The sequence below is a fragment of the Homo sapiens genome, chromosome 17 (genome assembly GCF_000001405.40).
Source record: "Homo sapiens chromosome 17, GRCh38.p14 Primary Assembly".
Classification (NCBI taxonomy): domain Eukaryota; kingdom Metazoa; phylum Chordata; class Mammalia; order Primates; family Hominidae; genus Homo; species Homo sapiens.
The window spans coordinates 47,020,155-47,046,198 of NC_000017.11; the positions used below are offsets into that span (position 1 = coordinate 47,020,155).

Consider the following 26,044-nt stretch of genomic DNA (forward strand, 5'->3'; position numbering starts at 1 on the left):
CAGAGCCAGGCTGCCTGGGTTTGAACCCAGATCTATTTATTAGCTTGGTGACCCAGAGCAAGTTATTCTGCCTGTGACTCAATTTCCTCACCTTTAAACTGGGGATCATGCTAGTTTGCATTTCATAGGATTGTTGTGAAATTTAGGTGAGTGAATATATGAAACACTTCATCAGTGCTTAGCATATGTAGGAGAGTTGGCTGTTCACATGATTATTCAGTCCTTTAGTTTTGTCCAGAACTCATCTTTGTCCCTAGCTTTCTATATGTAGAACTAGTTTTATGTCAAACCCAGGGCCAAGTATGCTACTGTCTCCAGAACACGAAAATGATAGGAGGGAAGAGGCTGGGTGTGGTGGCTCACGCCTGTAATCCCAGCACTTTGGGAGGCCGAGGTGGGCGGATCACGAGGTCAGGAGATCAAGACCATCCTGGCTAACATGGTGAAACCCCATCTCTACTAAAAATACAGAAAAAAATTAGCCAGGCATGGTGGTGGGTGCCTGGAGTCCCAGCTACTCGGGAGGCTGAGGCAGGAGAATGGCGTGAACCTGGGAGGCAGAGCTTGCAGTGAGCCAAGATTGCACCACTGCACTCCAGCCTGGGTGACAGAGCAAGACTCCATCTCAAAAAAAAAAAAAAAAAAAAAAAAATAGGAGGGAAGAAAGAGAATAGGCATAAAAAGGGAGGTATATATAATTAAGTACTAAAAGATAATGCAGACCATTGGTGCTAGAATTTGCCAGAATCTGTGATCCTTGAGGTGTGGAGATGCTACATGGGTAAGCTAAAACTTTACTTGGGTCTTAAAGAGTAGCTATAATTTGTTAAATAGAAAAAAAATGGGAGTACAGTCTAGGCAAACGCTTGGCTACAGGTATGGTTGGAATTTAGTAGACCAACGTGGTTACAAAGAATTAGGTGAGGGAGCAATGAAGATATGATTCTGTAAAACCTTGATTATCAGCTACAGGAGTTTGAAAGTTACACAATGAGGTATGGAAAGCCATTGAAAGTTTCCAAGCAAGAGATTACATGATCAAAACAGGAAGATTATTTTATTTTGTTTTTTGCATTATGTGCAAGTGTAGACATGCAGAGGATTGTTTTAGAATCCATATGTAAAGTGTCCAAAAGGAAAAGCTTAATTCAGGGAGACAAAATAGAAAGGTCTAGCAAAATCTAGGAGTGAAGTGTGAAGGGGCCAAATCAGATCAGTTGTAATAGGAGTGGAAAGAAAAAGCCTAGGATGTTTCAACAGAGGGCACTGGGCCAAAGCTTTGGTGTTACCTGGCATAGGGTTTCTTTCTTCTCATTTGTTGATAATGATAAGCTTTTGCCCATATTTCTGTGGAATTATTTACCATTTTGGTACTGATTTGTAGAAGTCTGTTTAGACACATAAGTGCTTTTAGATAAAATACTTACATTCAAAGTAATTAACTGGCATCATCTGTCCAAGAGATGGGATGGATAAGAAGTTAAGCTTCCAGGAGATGCCTCATCATTTGTGCCAGTGACCCCGCATAATTTCTTGATGAATTGTGCAAACTGGGAAGCTGATAGCTCTGGAAATGAGAAAGCAGGTGTTATTTTCTGTTTCTGAATATCCCCAACAAGGTTGCAATGATTCTTTTACTTATCGTGTTCATTGTTTTCCTACCTATTCAAGGATATAAACTGTGTTTCTTCACAGAAATTTCCAAGGAAACTATATTTCTTACATTGATGGAAATGTATGGAAAGTGTACAGTTGGACCGAGAAACTGTGAGTATATTCTCTCCAAATATGACAAAAAGCTAACTGCATTGTAAGATCTTTCTTGGTCCAGCATTTTGAGGTCGGTACCTCTGAGGAAAGATATTTCTCCTCCATGCCCCAAATCAACCACTGTTGACTGCAATCGTATGGTTATTTTAAAATTAAATTTGGTAGGCTCTCTTTAAAATAAGAGGCAATTTAAATTTATTTTTTATCATACAAATAATACATGGTTATATTCCTTTTTGTTCTCTTTTTTTTTTTTTTTTTCCAGAGACAGGTTCTTACTTTGTCCTCTGGGCTGCAGTGCAGTGGCACAATCACAGCTCACTGCAGCCTTCACCTCCCAGGCCCAAGTGATCCTCTCACCTCAGCCTCCCCAGTAGCTGGGACCACAGGTGCATGCCACCACACCCACCTAATTTTGTATGTTTTGTAGAGACAGGGTCTTCCTATGCTGCTTAGGCTGGTCTTGAACTCCTGGGCTCAAGTGATCCTCCCACCTTGGCCTCTTAAAGTGTTCATATTACAGGCATGAGCCACCACCCGCAGCCCATGATTCCATTTTTAATGTATAAAAATGCAATAACAGATATAACAAAAACTCTCCTTGTGCCCTACTCCCTCATCCCTGAAGTAATGCTACTCTGCATTTAGTATACATGCTTCCAGACTTTTCCCCATTTACCTACATACATATTTACATAAAGCAAAATAGATTTGTTTTGTGGTTTTTAAAATTTTTTCTTCACATAAAGGGTAACATCTTACAACGTGATTCTTTCACTTCATGATATGCCTTAGATTTCTTTCCTTCCCAGTACTTAGAGGGTCACCCCATTCATTTAAACTCCTGCATAATCCATAGTATGGATGCATCATGGTTTATTTAATAATTCCCCCATTGATGAATGTTTAGATTATGCTTAGTTTTCTTGTTACATGCATTGCTGCAATGAAATCCCTGTACATGCTTCTTTGTGAACATGTGCAAGTATTCCTGTAGCATAGATATCTAGAAATGGAATTGTTGGGGTGAAGACTATGTAGATATAAAATTTTAATTGCCTTCAAAAATTTTGTGCCAACTTACTCTATTGTCAGCAGAATATGACAGCATTCATTTCCCGACACCTTTTCACTGCTGGGTATTCTCCAACTTTTTGCTGAAGTTATGGATGAATAAAAGGGATTCCATCTAAATGTGAATTTTTCTGATTACTCATGAATTTAATTAAATATCTTTATACGTTTGTTGAACATTTGTGCTTCTTCTCTGAGTTTTCTGGCCTTTGTTCATTTTCCTGTTGAATTGTTTTATCATTTTCTTACTGATTTATAGAAGGAATTGGTTTAGACACATAAGTGATTTTGGAAAAAATGCTTACATTCAAAGTAACTGACATTTTTCACAACAGTTTGTGTGTCACATCATTATTTCAATGTATATAGACAAGCCATGATGAGTTCTAAATTAAAAATAAACATATGCTAGGCACGGTGGCTCACGCCTTTAATCCCAGCACCTTGGGAGGTAGGCGGATCACCTGAGGTCAGGAGTTTGAGACCAGCCTGGCCGATAGGGCGAAACCCCATCTCTACTAAAAATACAAAAAGTAGCCAGGTGTGGTGGTGGGTGCCTGTAATCCCATCTACTTGGGAAGCTGAGGCAGGAGAATTGCTTTATTTATTTTTTCAGATGGAATTTTGTTCTTGTTGCCCAGGCTGGAGTGCAATGGTGCGATCTTGGCTCACTGCAACCTCCACCTCCCGGGTTCAAGCGATTCTCCTGCCTCAGCCTCCCGCGTAGCTGGAATTACAGGTGCCCTCCATCACACCCAGCTAATTTATGTATTTTTAGTAGAGACAGGGTTTCACCATGTTGGCCAGGCTGGTCTCAAACTCATGACCGTGGGTGATTCACACACCTTGGCTTTCCAGAGTGCTGGGATTACAGGCATGAGCCACCACGCCAGGCCAGAACTACATTTTAAAAACAAGAAAATTATTACAAAGGTCAGGATAGTGGTTACCTATTAGGGTTAGAGAGAGGGATATGATTGGAAAGGGGCACACTGGGGCTTCTGGAAAGCTAGAAATGATCTTTTGTAACGATGTTTACATGGGTATCTGCTTTATAATTATTAAACTGAATATTTGGCCAGGTGAGGTGGCTCATGTCTGCAGTCACAGCACTTTGGGAAGCAGAGATAGGAGGATCACTCGAGCCAGGAGTTTGAGACCAGTCTGGGAACAGAGTGAGACCCTGTCTCAAAAATTAAATTAAATATAAACAACATTTATGTTATGTGCACTTTATGCACATTATAGTTCTCCAATTTTTTTGATGGAGGGGAAAAGGTTGAATGGCTTCACTTGCAGCCCTGACATGGTTCCATGTGGGGCTTTCATAATAAGGTTTGGGAAAAGAGAGGAGGAAATGGAGGTTCTGCTGATCTTGGTGCCACCCAGAGTTGATTCTAAAAGGGATTTTGTGATCTAGACAGGAGGCATGAAATAATACAATTTGGTGGGAAGAGTGGGTAGGGGTGTGCTTGAGTGTGTGTGTGTGTGTTTGTGGTGGTGGTGGAGAGAGATGGACACAAAAAGGAAAATGTAAGAAAAGGTTTGAATGAAAGCAGAGCAGATCCCACCATCTTGAAGTGACCATGACCCAGCTTTCCTCCACATGCAGGAGACAGTCCTGTGTAGCAAATAGTTGTAGTTTGCATTTTAATCTAGAAATAACTTCTTCATTTTCCAGAATTCTCAGAGAAAATAACTTGACTGAATTACACAAGGATTCATTTGAAGGCCTGCTATCCCTCCAGTATTTGTAAGTTAGTTAATTATATTTATGAGTTTTTAGTCATATTATCTGTACAATGAATAAGGGGTTCAAATTAGATAATCTCTCAGATTTCTTTGAGCAATAAAATTCTGCAATTCTGTAAGTTTGTATAGGGTCTCAGCCCATCTCTAGCACTAGCTACCTCCTGTGCATTTTCAGTTTTTAAGTTATATAGACAAAATACAGACAAAAACATTTCACATGGTAAGAAAATCTGAGCAGTGACTGACACCCATATGAACCTTGTTTTATAAGGGTTCACATATCATTCTTTTTCTATGCGGTCTACAACCAATAGATCCAATCTAATCTATGGTCTATTTTTAAATAGCCCATTAAGTTAAGAATGGTTTTTGCATTTTTAAAGGACTGTGAAAGAAAAAGAAAAGAAACAAAGAGAAATATGTGAGAGAGATCATATGTGGCCCACAAAGCCTAAAATATTTACTGTCTGACCTTCACAAAAAAAATTTCAAAAAGTTGGTTTAGTAGGATGAAAGGAACTAAAGTTAACTTCAGATTGTTGCCTAAAGGAGAAGAAAATGGAGACCACCTGCATTCATTTGAACATCATTATTCCAGAATTTTTGGTAATTTAATCGGAATTAAATTAACATTTAAATATTAAAAATCAGCTGAATTATATCAATAATATTATCGAGAATATTAAGCTACCAAGAGAATAGACTGGTATTAAGGATTTCATTTCAGGAATTGTTATATTAATACAGATGTTTAAAATGATGGTTAAGTGGTAGAGCTAGAAATGTTTACCCTAAGAAGCACATCAGAAATGCCCCTAACTCTTCACTAATTACAAAATAACGATCGCCCCAGCCCTGTTACCAAGAAAGGGATCCCTGTATTTCTGTCTGTTTAGAGACAAGAAGATACTATGTTCATTGCTATGAATGCTTGATTCTTACCCTTTGTCCATAGAGGTGTGTATGTCATTAATCCTTATTAAGCTCATTAGTGATGCTCTTTTGCAAACAGATTCTCTCAAATATAGAAGGCTTAAGGAAAGTGGGTGTAAAGACCCTCAGGTGGATGCCAAAGTGCTACAGAGACCATGAAATAATAAAACTACGTTTCCTTTAAAATAGTTATTTTCCTTCTACTCACTCCCCCCTATTCATTTATTTTACAAATATTTGAGTTTGCTTTATTTCCATGTGTCAGTTTTAAACATGGTGGGCAATGCAGATGAGCAAGACCTAGTCCATGCTTTCAGGGACCTGTTTATGCTCAGAAGAAATGGGATACAAAATAACTACATTAAGAAGAAGAAATGGATGTGGGCACTAGGAGGGATAAATTGTTTCTCGAACATAGAAGAGGAAAAAATGCCTTCAATTTGGACCCAGGAGGATGTTACTAGAACAATGCCATTTGAATAGGACTTTGAAGGGCCATTGTGTAACATCAGAGAGACATCTTGGGGAAAATACTCTAAACTTGCAAAAGGAAAATGGGAGGGCAAAACACAGGAAAGTATTCAAGGAATGCCATGAGTACCCGTAGAGTACAAGAAGGGAGAGTAGGAAAATGGAGCCAGATCTTCTAGGGCTTTGAATGCCAAGCTGAGGAGCCAACATGGGGAACCATGTTACCACAGCAGTGCTGTAAGGTAGATCTGCATCACAGTCGTTGAGAGGGCACGTTAGAACTCAGTTCTGGACTCCACCCTCGTAGTTACTGATTCAGTTGGTCTAGAGTGGGACCAAGAATTTGCATCTTCAGTAACTTCCCAGGAGATGCTGGTCTTTGCAAGCCACTTCTGGAGAGTTTATATGATGACTGTGTGCAGGATAGTTTAGGAAGGGAGAGACTAGAGATGGAGACATCAGCCAGACAACGTTACACCATCCAGGTAAAGAGGGAGGGACAAACTCCATCACTGTATAACTGAATAAATTTCTTTTATGAAATATTAAAGCAATATAAAACCAAAAATGAATTTCTATTAATATGATAGAAATTAATTCTATTAATATGATTTGAATTAGTTCAAAGTTATGTATTAGGTAAAGGGGTAGCTTCCTTTCAAATGATGTGAAAGGATGTCTTTTATTTCTTCTGATATTGAACTGGCTTAGGAAAACAGACCTAAACTAAGAAGGTGTAGAAATGTGAGACTTTGTTTGTTTGTTTGTTTGTTTGTGATGGAGTCTCGCTCTGTCGCCCAGGCTGGAGTGCAGTGGTGCAATCTCGGCTCACTGCAAGCTCCACCTCCTGGGTTCATGCCATTCTCCTGCCTCAGCCTCCTGAGCGGCTAGGACTACAGGCACGTGCCACCAGGCCTGGCTAATTTTTTCTATTTTTTTGTAGAGACGGGGTTTCACCGTGTTAGCCAGGATGGTCTCAATATCCTGACCTCAGGATCTGCCAGCCTCGGCCTCCGAAAGTGCTGGATTACAGGACTGAGCCACCGCACCCGGCCCGACTATTTTTTTTAATATTAGAAATTGTATATATAGAGATAAAATCTTTGAGCTCATAATCTAAGATTTGATGACACTACAAAAGGGCATCTAATCAAGTCTACTGCTCTCAGGAAAAATTAATTCCAAAGTCTATTATGTTGTATATTTATTAAAACCATGAAGGTGAGACTCTAGGAGAGGTATGGGTAGGGTTAGGGGCTCTGGAAAGTTCAAATACAAGTCCAAACGTTTAGAGTTGAGATAAAAAATGTGTATCCAATATTATTCTAAACTCTTGCTATTATTCATACCAATCAACATTTAATAACTAATCAAGGCAATATTTTCCTTTTCCTTTTCCTAGAGATTTATCCTGCAATAAAATACAGTCTATTGAAAGACATACATTTGAACCACTACCATTTTTGAAGTTTATGTAAGTTACAAATATAACTTGATTACATTTGGAATTTTTATAAAACTTAATTATAAACCTCTTTGCTATTCTTGAAATATAATTAAAATTTTACCAGTAGAAAGCTACTAAAATTATACAGCAAATCCTTTTTGTCTCTAGCAAGGATTATTGTGAGAATTATTACACAGATCTTAGTGAATCATCAGAGAGCAGTGGTTCTCAGCTGGTGTGATTTTGTACTCAGGTGGCATCTGGTAATGTCCGGAGACAGTTTTGGTTGACAAAACTGTGAGTGTGCTCCTGGCATCTGGTGGGCAAAGGCCAGAGATGCTGCTAAACATCCTTCAAGGTATAAGACAAACCCCCATGGCAAAGAGTTATATAGTCCAAAATGTTGATGGCACTGAAGTTGTGAAATCCTGTTCTAGAGAAATAAAGATCACTTAACACAGGTATTTACTGAGCATTCACTGTTTTGTATCTAATGCACCACGTGTGCAGTGTTAAAGTATAAATCATAAGCCAGTATCTTCCACAGTGAGATTTCCTTAGTGCATAGAGAAAGGATTGAGGTTATGTTCCATCCTGTATAAATTAGAATCATGGCAAATGATAAATGTTCTGAAATAATTATTTTTTTCCTTTGGCTTGTGTCTTTTTTTTTTTTAGAAATCTTAGTTGCAATGTAATTACAGAACTCAGCTTTGGAACATTTCAGGCCTGGCACGAAATGCAGTTTTTACATAAGTTGTAAGTGAAATAGAAGATGAATACATGTAAACAACTATTTATCTACAAAAACTCATACAATTATTGGGTAGCTGGGTATAAGCCCATTATCAACTCTGAAAAGCGTGTCTTAAGATCCATTCATTTTTCTCAAATGGGGAAGCTAAGGTACAAAGAGGCCAAGAGACTTACATAGCTTATATATGACCTCCTCTGCTTGTCCTAGTTCTGACCTATAGCATGGGCAAGAAAAGGCATCAAAGAGGTGACCCTCAAATTAGCCTTATTGCTGGGCGGGGTGGCTCAGACCTGTAATCCCAGAACTTTGGGAGCCGAGGTGGGTGGATCACCCGAGGTCAGGAATTCAACACCAGCCTGGCCAACATAGTGAAACCCTGTCCCTACTATAAATACAAAAAAATTAGCTGGGCGTGGTGGTGCAGTTTTTTGCTCCCTGGAGGACTTTGTGTTAAGCTTCCTTCCTTGCAGCTAAATGTTGCAGACATTTAAGCAGTTAGAAACTCTGCATATGAGCAGGAATCAAATCCAAAGTTGTAGGGCCAGAATGGTGGCTCATGCCTGTAATCCCAGCACCTTGGGAGGCCAAGGTGGGAGGATCACTGGAGGTCAGGAGTTTGAGACCAGCCTGGCCAACATGGCGAAACCTCATCTCTACTAAAAATACAAAAATTAGCAGGTCATGGTGGCGGGCGCCTGTGATCCTAGCTATCAGGAGGCTGAGGCACGAGAATGGCTTGAACCCGGGAGGTGGAAGTTGCAGTGAGCCGAGATTGTGCCACTACACTCCAACCTCCCCTCCAGGCTGGTCTCGAACTCCTGTGACCTCAGGTGATCCACCCACCTCAGCCTCCCAAAGTGCTGGGGTTACAGGTGTGAGCCACCATGCCTGGCCAAGATGGTGTTTATGTTAAGCTATTGTGCAAAAAAAAACTTTTGTAAAGAAAATATATCGCTGTATCTTAATTCCATATACTTTCCTGACTACTCTTCTACCATAATTGCAAAAATTCTATGATTTCTTTGTATAACATACCCATCAAATCAGAGTGGGTATATTCAGTGGCCTGAAGGGGACTCAAGGTGAAGATTCTCCTCTACATCTGACTTTAGAAAAGACTTTCCACCTGCCTTGTGGTTCAGAAATCTAGTTTCACACAGTTCACTTCGAGATAGAGGGAAGCATTCAGGATGTGTCTGGACTAGAGCAGCAGTTTCTGCACATGCTCCCCTCTGTCCTCATTAATTTGCTGATGCATAACTTAGGAAAAGCACACTAAAGGTCTGTTTTTCTTTTTCCCTCACACCAGAGAACAGGCTCATTAGGTCCCTCCACGAAGAGGTTTAGGTAGCATCAATACAAATGTTTTAAACTCACCATCTTTACTAAGCACTTTATACAACTGGGAGTCCCTCATAAAAATCTGGTGGCCGGGAGCGGTGGCTCATGCCTGTAATTCCAGCACTTTGCTCAGGTGGGTGGATCACTTGAGGTCAGGAGTTCAAGACCAGCCTGACCAACATGGTGAAACCTGTCTCTACTAAAAATACAAAAATTAGCTGGGCATGGTGGCAGGCAACTGTAATCCTAAGTACTCAGGAGGCTGAGGCAGGAGAATCACTTGAAACCAGGAGGCGGAGGTTGCAGTGAGCCGAGATGGCACCATTGCACTCCAGCTTGAGGGACAGAGTGAGACTCTGTCTCAAATAATAATAATAATAATAATAATAATCATCATCATCATCATCATCATCATCATCATCATCATCATCATCATCATCTAGCCAGCTTCACTACAATTATGTAGGCAACACCAGGAAAACACTGGAATCACAGTTGATAAAAATTAATGAATTCACTCAAAAACATTCAGAGTGCCATGTCCATTTGTGCCAGGTACTGTACTAAGTGCTGGGGCTACAAAATCCATCTCAAAGACACACCAAGATGAGGACTTTGTCCCCAGGGGACTTTCATTCCTCAAGGAGGAAGCGGATGCTGATGGGAAAACATATGAGAGCCATGTGGGGATCTGTACGGCAGGGTGACAAGGAGAGGACAAAGCAGGAATGGGGGCTGGGTTAAGAAAGACTTGAGAGACACTAACTTGCTTATCTTGAGTTTCTGTGTTCATCTTAAACAACAGAAAAAGGCATTTGCTTCATGGTGATGAAAAAATCAGAGCTAGCTGATATTGGAAACTAGCACTCATTTCATATAAACAGAATAGAGCTGTACCCTTCAAACTAAGTCACAGTTACTTTCAAAGATTGGCACAAGGGTCTCAACACACCAAGTGTATGTTAGGGGCTGGGCTCCTTTGGAGTCAAATCTTCCTGGTAAACAAAGCTACACTGCAGTCATATTTGGCATATGTGACATATAGGCCCACTGCATTTCCTTCCAAAGGCAAGATGCCAAGGGAAGGTGCCAGTAATTTTATGACCAATATGACACCATTTTGTGGTGTTTGTAAGTTGAAACAATATATTTCCCTGCATTACACAAGTTTGTAAAAAACAAACAAAAAAAGAGGCCCCAGCTGTGGTTGATCGATGATGAATTGAATAGAGCCTAACCTTCCAGGCTTCTCACTTGCACAGGCCCTTCCAAGGTCCTGGGAGGGCCCCTGGAAATTTTTGTAGTCATAATTTTTTTAATGTTTTTACAAGATAAGGCTCAGGCCCCACAAAATCCTGAAATCATCCCTGGGTTCCAATAGTTACAACCCAGTAAATCTCTTGAATGAAGCCTCTATGTTATTGACAAATACTGACTGGCCAAATTAGCAGGGTGATAGGGTCAGTCTATTTTGAATCTGAAATCCATCTCAAAGACAGGCCAAGAGCTTATTCGTGGACTTAACTGGATTCTGCTGGCCCAAGCGCAGTAAAGTCAAACAACCATATCGAGGTTTTGCATTGGGGAAAGGAGGACATTTATTTGCAGGGCATCCAAGCAAGAAGGACCAGGTGGCTAACTATCAAAGTCCCTCACTGAATGGGGGCAATAATCATATCTCTTACAGATGAAATCATGAATGAAATGGTTTATGGAAAAGCAGCAATGGTTGATAATCCTAAATGTTAAGTATGTTTATATTTTTTCCCTGACTTTAAAGTGCTTCTCCTTCATTCCTATACACAGGTCCAGACTGATGGCTTATTTTTTAAAATTCTCTTAGTCACTTCATTGGTTCTAACAATAATTTTAGAAACTGGATGACTTTGCAATGTAGAAAGGCTATACTTTATTCAGATAGAGTACACTCATATATTGGCTTGTCTATGGCACATCGATATCATGCCAAGAATGTAAGCACTAAGAGAGAATAAGAGGAAAATCCAGGCTTTATCCCTATTGAATTATTTATCCCACTATTAGAATATTAGTGAGGTAGGTGTGGCCACACTGTGATGGCAAATTGAGCTTCGGTCACAAACATGCCTTACTGTTCCCCCCAGTCTACTGACATCAGCTTCCTTTACATAGCGGTAGATGCACAAAAGCTTGCACAGTTGAGGGTATTGTCATCATGTTTTGGTATGTACTGGAATCCTGGCAGCTTCTTCTCTGATTCGGAGAGGCGCAAACATTAAAGACAAAAAGAACAACTCGAGTCTGTCCTTTGGGGTGATTTAGGGTGGCTGTTTAAATTTGTAGTGGTTGAAAAGTCTTGAGATTGTCACACCTAGCAACTCTTATACTTTTCTTCTCTCAGCTGCAGCTTGTTCTTTTCACCTGTGTAACAAGCTGTCTTCTCTTCTCACAGAAGCTTAGCATTTCTTCCTCTGCCCCATAGCATTTTTTCAATACTTAATTTACCAGGTGCTGTTTATGTTGTAGGCACCTAAGTACTTATACAAGTGAGATAACATGTCCGAAGTTCTTAGAACAGTGCTTGGCCTATGGTAAATGCTCCATACATGTTACCTCCTATGATACCTCATTTTCATTTTTCCAACAACTCTTGCGATGCGGTTATTATTATCATTTCTATTTTGCAGATGAGGAAGTTGAAACTCAGAGACGCTAGGTAATTTGCTAAGGTTCACACGGCTAATAAGTGGCAGAACCACTTACAAGCTTTGCAAGTAATTTTCAATGCAGCTCTTAGTTCTCCTGTAATAGGAGCTGAATGATGACAATTTGGCTTTGTGTGCATTGTATCTTACTTTCTAACTTGAACAGGACCTGTAGAGCAGTGAGCTCCACTTCCCTCTGAGAATCCCACGCTTCTGGAGCTCCTGGCTGTACCAGCTCTGGGCATCCCCAGGGTTTATGCTCACCGGTCAGTGCTGGTGTGACATGATGGCTGAGCACCGGCACTGTGTCCAGCGCATTGCTAGGCACTAGACACGTGCTCTTTCATTTATTCCTCAAATTGCTTTGTGCTGTAAATGCTACCCAGAAAGGCTCATGTTCATTACTCAAGTCACTTCACCAGAAAGTGACAGAGCCAGAATTCAAACCCAGGTCTGCCAGATTCCAGGTCCCTTGCTTCTTCTGTTGTTCCTCATTGCAAGGGAGTCTTCTTCAAGGTTATTCTCAGGACTTTGATTAAGATACAGGCTCACAGCTGGGCATGGTGGCTCATGCTGTAATCCCAGCACTTTGGGAGGCCAAGGTGGGTGCATCACTTGAGCTCAGAATTTCGAGACCAGCCTGGCCAACATGGTGAAACCCTGTCTCTACTAAAAATACAAAAATTAACCAGGCATGGGGACGGGTACCTATGATCCCAGCTACTCTGAAGGCTGAGGCAGGAGAATCACTTGACTCCAGGAGGTGGAGTTTGCAGTGAGCCAAGATCACACCACTGCACTGCACTCCAGCCTGGGCAACAGAGTGAGACTTCATCTCAAAAAAAAAAAAAAAAAAAAAAAAAAAAAGAAAGAAAGAAAAGAAAAAAGGCTCACCGTTTCAGATTCTCTAGATTTTGCCCCTGAAAAAGCATTTACGTGATGCAGTCCGAGGTCTTGTATGGAGGAGCTTGGTGTGGGGAGATGTGTGGCTCACGAACCTATGTAGGTGAATAAAGGAAAGAGGTTACTTTCTCCCCAAGTACATCGCGCATATTGGGTGAGGGTCTAGGTCATCTGATCTGCTTATTTCTTTGACTACCTTCTTCCATGGAACCAGTTTTCCCTGACAGCCTTGGGATTCTAGCATAGATCATTTTGGAGTTTGTCATTTAAATTTATTTTCACGGCCTGCTTTGGACATTTTTTCAGCTAGAGCTGTTAGAATTTCAGTACATTTAAGACAGTGATGACATGCTCCAGTCCTTTCATCTCTCTCTCCTCAGTTAATAGAAAGGAAACATAGCCCATCTATCTGGACCTGTACAGAAGAATTTGGAGGGAAAAAAAAGAACAGGCAAGAAATGTTCCCTTATTTTGTGAGCTACCTTTATTCTGTCCCATTGTTCTACAGCAAAAGGCTTGTATAAAAATATTTCAGTTTTCCTCATCTAATAAGGCATATTTAATAAAATTATTTAGAGCAGTACTTCTTAAACTTTTACTCTGAGACAGTCTTTGAGGCTGGAAAAAAGCTTGCCACATTTTACTCCCATAAAGATACCAAAAAGGCGATGGACTGGGAGTCAGTGCACCTTAGTTTAATGTATAAAATGAAGGACTTGAACCAGAAATGGAAATGATCATCTACTGTGAATCTAAAAACACTCAAGGCTGGGCACACTGGCTCATGCCTGTAATCCCAGCACTTTAGGAGGCCAAGACAGGCAGATCGCTTGAGCCCCTGGAGTTCAAGATCAGCCTGGGCTACAAAGTGAGACCCCAATCTCTACAAAAAGACTTTTAAAAAGTGGAAACATAAATATAAATAAATAAAAACATTCATATCATTTGGTTTGTGGAAAAGAGTTGCTGTAGAGTCCTCAAACTTGAGCCATTGAGCCAGTTCCCACTCAGTCTCTCCATGGCCCAGGCACAACCTTAGTCAAGAAAAGAATGCCTTAGAACAGGAGGAAAAGAGGATAATATCGAATGGCCCTACATTTTGATTTCATTAGGGACAAATGCAAAGATCCTAATGTCAGCTGGAGAAGAGCTTCCTAGTTCAGAGGTAATGCTGAGCTCAAGGCTATGGATGAGCTATCAAGAAAGAGGGAAGGTTGGAGAGTGAGAGAATTTTGGAGGAAAGATAACAAACTTTGCTAAGTTGTTTGGCTACATACTGCCTTACAGTCATTATTTTTGGTGTTTAGAAAAAAATAGAAACAGGGTCTCACTTTGTTACCCAGGCTGGTCTCAAACTCCTGGGCTCAAGCTCTCCTTCTGCTTTGGCCTCCCAAAGTGCTGAGATTACAGGCTTGAGATGCTGTGCCCAGCCTACATTCATTTTTAATAGCTGGGAGGAAAGTGGGCAGAGGAAGATATAGAATGAAGAGGTAGCCGACTTTGTACAGAGCCCACCAGTGGTCTTACAACTTTTCATGCCAAAAAAAAATCACGAAGGATATTTAAAGCCCTAGTTTGAGAATCCATACTTAACCAGTCATGTGGCACTCACATTCTTTCTCTTTGTAACATCATCTTATTGAATATTAGTGTTACAAAACAAGTTAATGGCACTGAAAAACCATCTGGAATAGGAAGAGGAGGGGGATCACAAGGCAGGACAAGCTGTGTGGCTCCCAGCCTCGCCACTGACTCACTCTGATCTTGGTCAAGGGAGAGTGAATCTTCACTCCTCTTCTTTCCATCTGCCAGCATGTTTGGTCTTCTGGCACCTGGTGTTCTATACAGCACAACATGCTTCTTTGTGTTAAATTGAGACTTGATCCACATACCATCAACGCAGTATTATAAAGTGTACAATTCAGTGGTGGTTAGTATATTCTCAAGGTTGTATAGCAAACAATCACCATTATCTAACCCCAGAACATTTTCATCATCCCCCAAAAAAACATGGTACCCATTAGCCATCACTCCCCAGTGCTGTCTTCCCTCAGGCCCAGGTAACTACTAATCTACTTTGAGTCCCTATGGATTTGCCTATTCTAGATCTTTCATATAAACGAATCATACAGTATGTGGCCTTTTGTGTCTAGTTTCTTTTCACGAAGCATGTTGTTTCTAAGGTCCTCCCATGCTGCAGCATGGATCATTCCTTTGCAAGGCTGAGTGATATTCCATTGTATGGAGCCATCACTATATCCGTTCATCCATTCATCACTTAGTGGACATTTGGTTGTTTCTACTTTATTTTGGCTTTTATGAATAATGCTGCTATGGACATGCATGTACTACTTTTTGTGTGGACATGTTTTTAATTCTAGGGTGCATCCCTAGCAGAATTGCTAGATCATATGGCAACTCTTATGTTTAACTTTTTGAGGACCTGTCAGGCTGATTTCCACAGTGGCTGCTCCATTTTACACTTCCATCTGCAGTGTTTGAGGGTTTCAATTTCCCCGGGTCTTTGTCAACACTGTCGTTGTCTGTCTCTTCTCATAGCCATCCCAGTGAGTGTAAAGTAGTATCTCGCTGCAGTTTTTGATGGACATTTCCCTAATGATTTAAGACATTCAACATTTTTATGTGTATATGAGCCATTTATATATCTTCTTTGAAGAAATATTTATTCAAATCCTCTGCCTCTGCCCATTTAAAAAATTGATTTGTCTTTTTATTGAATTATAGGAATTCTCTATATCTTCTGGATACTCTGGATATTAGACCTTAACAGATAATTTGCCAATATTTTCTCTCATCCTGTGAGTTCTGTGACTTTCTTGCCAGTGTCCTTTGATGCACAAAAGTTTTTAATTTTGATAAAATCTAATGTATCTATTTTTCCTTTGGTTGTTTGTGCTTTTGGTGTCATGTGTGTGTATAAAATGTCTTACTCTTCTTTAAAAAGGTTCAGTGTTTGGTTTTAAATCAGGCTGTGTCCCTTTCATCTGTCTGACATTCTTGTCACCATGTCAGGCTGCCTTCAGCTAGTAATACTTCATTAAATTCAAAAGACAAAATTGTTTTAAAAGAAAAAAAATCCAGTTTGGAGAAGAAAAAACTGTTGTCTAATTTAAGGTCATGAGATTTACTCCCATGTGTTTGTCTAAGAGTCTTATCATTTTGGCTCTTACATTTAGGTATTTGACATATTTTGCATCAATTCTTATAATTGTGTGAGATGTAGGGGGTCCACCTTCATTATGTTGCACATAGATGTTCAGTTGTTCCAGCACCATTTAAAAAAAAAAACATTATTTCCACGTAGAATTGTTGTAGCACCCTTGTCAAAAATCAATTTTCCATAAATGTGAGGGTTTATTTCTGGGTTGTCAATTCTATTCTATTGATTTATTTGTCTGTCCACATTCCAGTATCACACTGTGATTGCTGTAGATTTGATTTGGGTTTTGAAATTGGGACATTTGAGTCTTCCCACTTTGTTATTTTACAAGATTATTTTCCTATTTAGGGTGCCTTAAATTGCATTATAATTTTAGAACTAGCTTGTCACTTTCTGGAAAGAAGCCAGCTGGGATTTTGATAAGAATTGTACTGATAATAGCAAAGATATGTAATCAACCCAAATGCCCAACCTAACTGCTATGTTATTCCTATTCCAATACTTTGCAATATATGTAGCTTTTTAGAAAGAGGATATGTTAGCAGGGCGCAGTGGCTCACACCTGTAATCCCAGCACTTTGGGAGGCTGAGGCAGGTGGATTGCCTGAGGTCAGGAGTTAGAGACCAGCCTGGACAACATGGTGAAACCCCGTGTCTACTAAAAGTACAAAAATTAGCAGGGGGTGGTGGCAGGCACCTGTAATCCCAGCTACTCAGGAGGCTGAGGTAGGAGAATCACTTGAACCCAGGAGGTGGAGGTTGCAGTAAGCCGAGGTCACGCCATTGCACTCAAGCCTGGGCAACAGAGTGAGACTCCAATGGAGACGGGGTTTCAGCACGTTTATCAGGCTGCTCTCGAACTCCTAACCTCAGATGATCCACCTGCTTCAGCCTCCCAAAGTGCTGGGATTACAGGCATGAGTTACCGTGCCCGGCCAATAAATGAAAACTTTTTCACTCAAAAAAACAACAATTGTAGTGAAACCATAGATCAATTTGGAGAATCGTGCTATTATTATCTGCTTCATGTTTACAGAATACTCTGTTGAATTTGGTTTGCCAGATTTTGTCAAGCATTTTTCCATCTACATTCATAAGAAATACTGGTCTGTAATTTTTTGTGTGTGATGTCTTTAGTTTGGATACCAGGTTAATATCACCCTCATAGAATAAGTTAGGAAATGTTCTCTCCTCATCTGTATTTTGAAAGACTTTATGAAGGATTGGTGTTAATTCTTCTGTAAGTATTTGGTAGATTCACCAGTGAGGCTGCCTGCTGGTCTTCAGCTTTTCTTAGTGGAAAGTTTTTTGATTACTACCTCAATCTCTTTACTTGACATAGGTCTGTCTATTCAGATTTTCTGTTTTTTTCTCAAGTCAGATTCAGTAGTTCATATCTTTCTGGTAATGTGTCTTTCATCCAGCTTATCCAATTATTAGCATATATTGTTTATATGTATAATCCTTTTCATCATATTATAATCCTTTATGTCTCTAAGAACAATAGTAATGTCCCCTCTCATTTCTAATTTTAATAATTTGGTCTTCTGTATTTGTGCAGTGCAGTGGCTCACACCTGTCATCCTAGCACTTTGGGAGGCTGCGGTGGGAGGATTGCTTGACCCCAGGAGTTCGAGGCCAGCCAGGGCAACATACTGAGACCTTATCTCTACAAAAAAAAATTAAAAGTTAGCTGAACATGGTGGCACACGCCTGTAGTCACAGCTACTCTGGTGGCTAAGGCAGGAGGATCACTTGAGGAGATCAGGGCTGCAGTGAGCCATGATTGTGCCACTGCACTCCAGCCTGGGAAACAGAGTGAAAACCTGTCTTGAAAAATGAACAGTAAAAAAACAAAATGTTTGTGGCCAGATGCAGTGGTGCATACCTATAATCCCTGTACTTTGGGAGGCCAAGGAAGGAGGATTGCTTGAGGCCAGGAGTTTGAGACCAGCCTGGGCAACATAGTGAGACCCTATCTCTAAAAATTTTTTTTAGTTATCCGAGTGTGGTGGTGCGCACCTGTCGTCTCAGCTACATCTTAATTTTATAACGTTGTAGTTCAGATTAATTCCAACTTTGTTTCAATGGTATACAAAAACTTCGCTTCTCTAAAGCTCCACTCTCACCCCCTCCTTTATACTGTTATTGTCACACATTACATCTTTATATACTTTATGTTCATCAACTAGATTTATAATTATTGCATTATGTAAGTATCTTTTTCTTATTTTTTTTTGTTTTGGGACAGAGTCTCACTCTGTTGCCCAGGCTAGAGTGCAGTGGCACAATCTTTACTCGCCGCAACCTCTGCCTCCCAGGTTCAAGCGATTCTAGTGCCTCAGCCTCCTGAGTAGCTGGGACTGCAGGCACGTAACACCACACCCAGCTAATTTTTGTATTTTTAGTAGAGACAGGGTTTCACCATGTTTGCCAGGCTGGTCTCAACCTCTTGACCTCAAGTGATCCTCCAGCCTCAGCCTCCCAAAGTGCTGGGATTACAGGCCTGAGCCACTGCGCCCAACCAGTGCTTTTTATTTCTTTGTGCAGATTCACATTAGTACTCCTTATAGGGCAGGTCTTCTAGCAACAAAGTCTCTCAGTTTTTATTTATCTAGAATATCTTAATTTCTCTTCAATTTCAAAGGTAGTTTTGACAGGTATAGAATTATTGGTTGACAGTTTCTTCAGCACTTTGAATATGCCATTTCATTGCCTTTTGTCCTCCACTGTTGTGTGTGGTTGCTTTGTTTTTAGACAGGGACTTGCTCTGTTACCCAGGCTGGAGTGCAGTGGTGCAACCACTCACATCGTTGCAGCCTCCACTTCCCAGGCTTAAGCAATGCTGTCACCTCAGCCTCCTGGGTAGCTGAGACTGCAGGCATGCACCACCATGCCCAGTTATTTTTAAATTTTTTGTAGAGACAGGGTTTTACTCTATTGCCAGTGCTGGTATCCAACTCCTGGCTTCAAGCAATTCTTGAGCCTCAAGCCTCCCAAGGCACTGGGAGTACAGGTGTGAGCAACCATGCCCAGCATCTCCATTGTTTTTGAAGAGAAATCAGCTATTAATCTTATTGAGGATCCCTTGTATGTGATGAGTTGCTTTTCTCTTGCTGCTTTCAAGATATTCTGTCTTTGGCTTCTGTCAGTTTGATTACAGTATGTTTAGATGTGGATCCCTCAGTTTTTCCTACTTGTAGTTCCTTGAGCTTCTTGAATATGCAGATTGTTTTTCATCATGTTTGGGAAGTTTGGGGCCATTATTTCTTCAAATATTCTTTCTCCTTTTTTCTGTTTTTCTTCTCCTGGGACTCTCATTATGTGTATGTTAGTAAGCTTGATGATGTGTTCCACAAACAGGTCTCTGAGATTCCATTCACTTTCATTCATTTTTATTTCTGTTCCTCAGGGTCAACAATCTCAATTAACCTTCAAGTTCCCCATTCTTTCTTCGGCCTGCTGTAATGTGCCATTGAGAACCTCTAATAATTTTTCCATTTCAGTTACCATACTTTTCAACTCTAGAATTTCTATTTGGCTCCTTTTTATGGTTTCTATCTCTTTATTGATATTCTCTATTTGATGAGACATTGCTTTCATACTTTCCTTTAGTTCTCTAGTCTACAGAACTGAATCATTTCTCTTATCTCTTTGAATATATTTTAAATAGCTGAATTAAATCCTTCTCTAGGCCAGGCATGGTGGCTCATGCCTATAATCCCAGCACTTTGGGAGGCTGAGGCTGAGGTTGAGGCTGAGGCCAGGAGTTCAAGACCACCCTGGGTAACTTCGCAAGACCCCAACTATAAAAAATAAAAAAATCTTTGTCTAGTAAGTCTAATATCTGGTCTTTCTCAGGGACAATTTCTGCTTATTTCTCCCCCCACCAAGTGTTTGGGCCATACTTTGTTTCCTTGCATCTTTCATAAATGTTTGTTAAAAGTTGAATATTTTAAATAACATAATGTAGCAATTCTGAAAATCAGATCCATGCTGCCAGGGTTTGGTGTTACTGCTGCTTGTGTTAGTAGTTGCTATTTATTTAGTGACTTTTCTGAACTTCTTCTGTAAAGTCTCGCATTATATGTCATGTGTTGCCACTAAAGTATCTCCTTGGTTAGCTTACCGATCAGCTAATGATTAAATGAAGATTTACTTAAATTCTTGGAACTGATAAGTCTCCTAGTTTTTGCCAAGGGGCTCTGTGTACATGTTGGGGCATACCTTCAGCACTCAGCTAGACAATTTACAGCCATGCCTTAGCTTTCACTTCTTGCTTGTGCAGAACCTCAAGATCAGCCAGGGGTGAGAGTTTATGAACTTAGTAGGTCTTTCCTGACCATGCTGGCAGCCTGCCCTATGCATGCGCATGACATTGCAAATTGCCAGGAATATGTCTTATGGACTTCTAGTTTCCCAAGCATATATCAGAGTGTTTCAAAATTCCTGTGGACATCTTATTACTCAGCTTTTCCTATTAAGCTTTTCGATTAGGCTTTTTTTCCCCAAACTGTTATTCATTGCCGAATACAGTTGCCATGTTAAAACACTTGTCTGTAATTGTTTTCCAAAAACACCCTCTGTGGAGAGGCTTTAGCACTAGACAGCTTTCATTCTGGTCAAATAAAGACAAACCTTTCAAATGAGGTCTTCCAGGGAACCACCAGACAGATGACATCATGACAGTTAACTGAGAATAAGGCTTTGAAGGAGCTCCAGCTCCATTCTGCTCCCTCTGCTTGGGGATGTGGGCTGTTTTTCAAGGCAACTACTGAGCTAGAGAGTGAGGAATGGTCTAAGGCAAGTTAACACAAATCTCACTGTTCTTACAGAAATTTTTCTTGAATAAATGCTCCTCGGGTTGCTGCAAGACTTTGGTTACATTTCTAGAGTTCTGAAAAAGTTTATTATGGTCAATTTTTTTTTTTGCCCTTTTCTTGGTGTTTGTTGCTTTTATGAAGGGATGAATTTTTGGATGTCTCTTTTTTTTTTTTTTTTTTTTTTTGAGACAGAGTCTCACTCTGTTGCCCAGGCTGGAGTGTGCAGTGGCGCAATCTCGTCTCACTGCAAGCTCCACCTCCTGGGTTCACACAATTCTCCTGCCTCAGCCTCCCGAGTGGCTGGGACTACAGGCGCCTGCCACCACGCCCAGCTAATTTTTGTATATTTAGTACAGACGGGGTTTCGCCTTGTTAGCCAGGATGGTCTCGATCCCCTGACCTCGTGATCCACCTGCCTCAGCCTCCCAAAGTGCTGGGATTACAGGCGTGAGCCACTGCGCCCAGCCTCGATGTCTTTATTCCACCATTTTCACTGATGTCACTTACAACATGGTTTTAAATCTCTGAAGGCTCACTGGGCACATGCCTGTAGTCCCAGATACTCGGGAGGCAAAGGAAGAAGGATCCTTCGAGTCCAGGAATTCTGGGCTGTAGCATGCTATGCTGATTGGGTGTCCGCACTAAGTTCAGCATCAGTATGGTGACCTCCCGGGAAAAGGAGACCACCAGGTTGCCTAAAAAGGGGTGTCCCAGCCCAGTTCAGGAATAGAGCAGGTCAAAACTCCCATGCTGATCACTAGTGGGATCATGGCTGTGAATAGCCACTGCTCTCCAGCCTGGGCAACACAGTGAGTGAGAATGTGTCTCTTAAAAAAAGAAGTCTCATCGACCACAGACTAATTAACTATTTAATCATGGGAAATGATTAGGGGAAAGACATAAAAAGAGAAACTGTAATCCACTTTTTTTTGCTCTATCGCCCAGGCTGGAGTACAGTGGCTTGATCTTGGCTCACTGCAACCTCCACCTCCCGGGTTCAAGCAATTCTCCTGCCTCAGCCTCTGAAACAGCTGGAATTACAGGCAAGCGCTGCCATGCCCTGCTAATGAGAAATTGTAATTCTCATAGAGGTCCTCCCAGAGGAGTAGAAGAAGGTTGAAAGGCACTTCTGTATTTAGTCTTCTCAATATTAAGGCTGGGCCCAGTGGCTCACACCAGCACTTTGGGAGGCCAAGGCAGGTGGATCACTTGAGATCAGGAGTTCAAGACCAGCCTGGCAAACATGGCGAAACTCCCATCTCTACTAAAAACACAAAAAATAGCCAGGCGTGGTGGTGCGTGCCTATAGTCCCAGCAATTTGGGAGACTGAGGAAGGAGGGTTACCTGAGCTTGGGAAGAGGAGGTTGCAGTGAGCCAAGATCACGCCACTGCACTCCAGCCTGGTCAATGGAGCAAGACCCTGTTTGGGTGGGGAGGGGAGGGGAGTGGACAGGAGAGGAGAAAGGAAAGAAAGGAAAGGAAAGAAAATAGAAAGAAGGAAGGGGGAGGGAAGGAAGGAAGGAAAAAGAGAGAGAAAGAAAAAGAATGAAGAACGAAAATAAAAATTTTTTAAAAACCTAAGGTTAAAATAAACCCTTTTTCTTCATATATAAACACATGAGTTCAAATTACAGCTTTGCTGCTTAATAGCTTGGTGACCCAGGACAAGTTATATAACCTCTCTGTGCCTCAGTTTCCTCATTTAAAAATAGGGCAATAATAATATCTACCACATAAGGTATTTGCTGATCACAAATACCTGGCAACCCAGTAGATACTCACTGTAATAATTATTATTTTTATAATTTCTGCCTAAGTACAAAGATGATTCTTGGGTCAACCTAAAGGCAGATTTTCTTTTATTTCTTCCTGTTTCTTTTATTTTTCTTGTTCACCTTAAAGAATTAAAAAGAAAATCGATTCCAGCATTTTGGAATAAAAATTTGCATCAAAATCAATTTATTCATTTTATTGACATATAAACAAAATGTCATTTGTTTATTCAATAAACATTTGTTAAATGCCTAATACATTTCAGACATCATGCCAGGCACGGGGATGACAGGGCATGGTGGCGGGCACCTGTAATCCCAGCTACTCGGGAGGCTAAGGCAGGAGAATTGCTTGAACCCGGGAGGCGGAGATTGCAGTGAGCCAAGATTGCGCCACTGCACTCCAGCCCGGGCGACAGAGTGAGACTCCATCTCAGGAAAAAAAAAAAATGTGGTCTCTGCCCTCAAAGCGCTCATAGTCCAGGAGCCTGACAAGTGGACAGGTGATTACATGCAATGTAAGAAAGGCTGTGATGTCATACAAGAAGACAAGTGGGAGTATGGTTTTGACCAGTTCCTCCTCTTAGATTTATTCCTTCTTCTTTGGCTATAAAGCAAAAGAATTGGTCCTATTTTTTTTAACTGTGCAAATTAAGCCATGAATTTTAAAAACTTTATAAAGATAAAAGACAAGCATCCAGCCCAGTGGCTCAAGCTGGTAATCCTATCAGTTTGGGAGGCTGAGGCAGGTAGATCACCTGAGGTCAGGAGTTCAAAACCAGCCTGGCCAACATGGTAAAACCCCGTCTCTACTAAAAATACAAAAATTAGCTGGGCATGGTGGTGGGTGCCTGTAATCCCAGCTACTCGGAAGGCTGAGGCAGAACAGGAGAATCACTTGAACCTGGGAGGCTGAGGTTGCAGTCAGCCAAGATCAAGCCATTGCACTCCAGCCTGGGCAACAAGAGTGAGACTCCATCTCAAAAAAAAAAAAAAAAAAATAGATGAACAACGAATTATGATGAGCAAATTGAATTATGGAGGATGCTAGAAATAGTGTTTCCTCCACAGTCAGGGCTTCCTACCAACATAGTCACTTTTAGGGTTTTTGACCTGAAAAGTTCTGTGGCATATTTTTTCTTTGCTATCCACTTTTTTTTTCCTTGTAGTCTCAAAGGTTTGTCAGTATACTTTAAAACAATCCTGGTAACAGTTCTAGATTGAAGGAGACTAAAGAATCATGTACTAAGTGTAATGTCTGATGTTTGATTGGATTCTCAATTTTTTAAGCCATGTTATGATTGGGACAATTGTGAAAATGTGTATATGGACCACATAGTAGACAATGATAATATGAAGTTCCATTGGGTGATGATAGTCCTCTGGTTATGTCGGAGAATGCCTTGGTTCTTAGGGGCTGCACACTGAAGTCTTCAATGGTGAAGGGTCATTATGTCTGCAACTGACTCTCAAATGGTTTTGTCCAGAAAATGTATAGACATACACACACGGAAAGCAAATGTGGCAAAGTATTAGCAACTACTGATTCCAGATGAAAGTTATACAGGTGTTCATTATACCATTTGAAAATGTTTCCCAGCCATTCTAAGGCTTAAAGGAAAAAAAGAAAATGTTTAAAATAAAAACTTGGGGGCAGAAAAAGAATACCAAAAATTTTGGGCTCAAGCCTGTAATCCCAGCACTTTGGGAGGCCAAAGAGAGAGGGTGGCTTGAGCCCAGGAGTTCGAGACCAGCCTGGACAACATGGTGAAACCCCATTTCTACAAAATATATAAAAATTAGCCAGGCGTGGTGGCACACACCTGTAGTTCTAGCTACTCATGAGGCTGAGGTGGGAGGATCACTTGAGCACAGGAGGCAGAGGCTGCAGTGAGCCAAGATTGCACCACTGCACTCAGCCTGTATAACAGAGCGAGACCTGGCCTCAAAATAAACAAAAGAAACACCTTTGTGGCAGAGGTAAGGCTGCTATATAACAAAATGCTGGGTTACGGTTCCGGGTCCATTCCATATGAAGATCAGAGGCTTCCACTGGACCCAAAGGAATAATACTAGTCACTTGTGATTGTTCCTCTATAGGTTTGAAAGATGTGTCAGGCCAACTCATTGGATGCAGTTTTAATCTAAAACTCTATACATTGTACTCCCAATTCATAGACTTCTTGTATCCATGAAACCCTCTTCTGTTTTCACAGTCTCAATGTGGCCCCAATAAAGCCATCCTTTTGGAGGACTCAGAAAAGGCCCCCCACAACCTCTGCAACATAATAATTATAGTTAACTCTTATTGAGCACTCACTGTGCACCAGGCATTTTTCAGGTATTGATTCATTTGATCCTCAAAATTCATTAGAGGTAGGTACTATTATAATGACAAGGCCAAGGAACAGAGATTTAACAATTTGCCCAAATTCACATTATTAGCAGAGCTGAGATTGAAGCATAGTCTGGCTATGGAATCTGTATTCTTAATGACCATGCTATACTGCCTAAGATTAACCTTTTACTTCAGTTACAGGGATTGTTTTTATCTCTCTGAAAGTGCCCCCAATAAGCCACAACAATAAATTAATCAATTGTCTCGGTTACCTCTTTTGCCCAAATTTACGTATTGAAAAAAATTCAAACAAGCCAGAAAGATGAAAGAATAGTACAGAATCTAATCAAAGATCAGGCACTGCATGTCATGTCTTCATTTCCTTTAATCTAAAACATGCTTCTACTTTCTTTGATCTTTCATGACATTGGCATTTTTTAAGAGTCAAAGATAGTTGTCTTGTAAATTGTCCCACAACCCGGATTTGTCTGTTTCCTCATGACGAAATTCAAGTTAAGCATTTTTGGGAAAAATACTGCATAGGTGATGTATCCTTCCTGCCTCGTAACTGCAGATGGCCTGTAATACTAAGTTTGATCACTTGACCAAGGTGAACTTCCAGATCTCTCCATTGTAATTATTTTGCTGGGTACAGTGGCTCCCACTTGTAATCCCAGCACTTTGGAAGGCTGAGGTGGGAGGATTGCTTGAGCCCAGGAGTTCTACACCAGCCTGAGCAACATGGGGAAACCCTGTCACTACTGAAAATACAAAAGTACAAAAAAAAAAAAAATTAG

General features: G+C 40.7%; 1 protein-coding gene, 1 long non-coding RNA gene and 2 pseudogenes across 43 annotated transcripts in view; 3 read left to right on the forward strand and 1 right to left on the reverse strand.

Annotated features, from left to right (window-relative positions):
- LRRC37A2 (leucine rich repeat containing 37 member A2) overlaps positions 1-26,044 on the forward strand; it is a 676,337-nt gene that overhangs the window by 647,363 nt on the left and 2,930 nt on the right. The gene's annotated exons all lie outside the window — the stretch shown is intronic.
- The window catches only part of LOC101927060 (uncharacterized), a 117,500-nt gene that overhangs the window by 37,369 nt on the left and 54,087 nt on the right, over positions 1-26,044 (reverse strand). For 35 of the 42 annotated variants that reach the window (XR_007065805.1, XR_243711.6, XR_007065812.1 and 32 more), the window contains 2 exons: positions 13,124-13,227; positions 1,428-1,567 (listed from right to left, as the gene is read on the reverse strand). This is a non-coding gene — a long non-coding RNA (uncharacterized LOC101927060). Of the gene's footprint in view, positions 1-1,427; positions 1,568-13,123; positions 13,228-14,889; positions 15,011-26,044 lie in introns of all 42 variants that reach the window. The other 7 variants (XR_007065810.1, XR_007065809.1, XR_007065803.1 and 4 more) reach the window with 2 other exon arrangements.
- Positions 1-26,044, forward strand: part of LRRC37A17P (leucine rich repeat containing 37 member A17, pseudogene) — a 37,223-nt pseudogene that overhangs the window by 2,965 nt on the left and 8,214 nt on the right.
- On the forward strand, positions 21,575-22,050 carry RN7SL270P (RNA, 7SL, cytoplasmic 270, pseudogene; annotated as a pseudogene).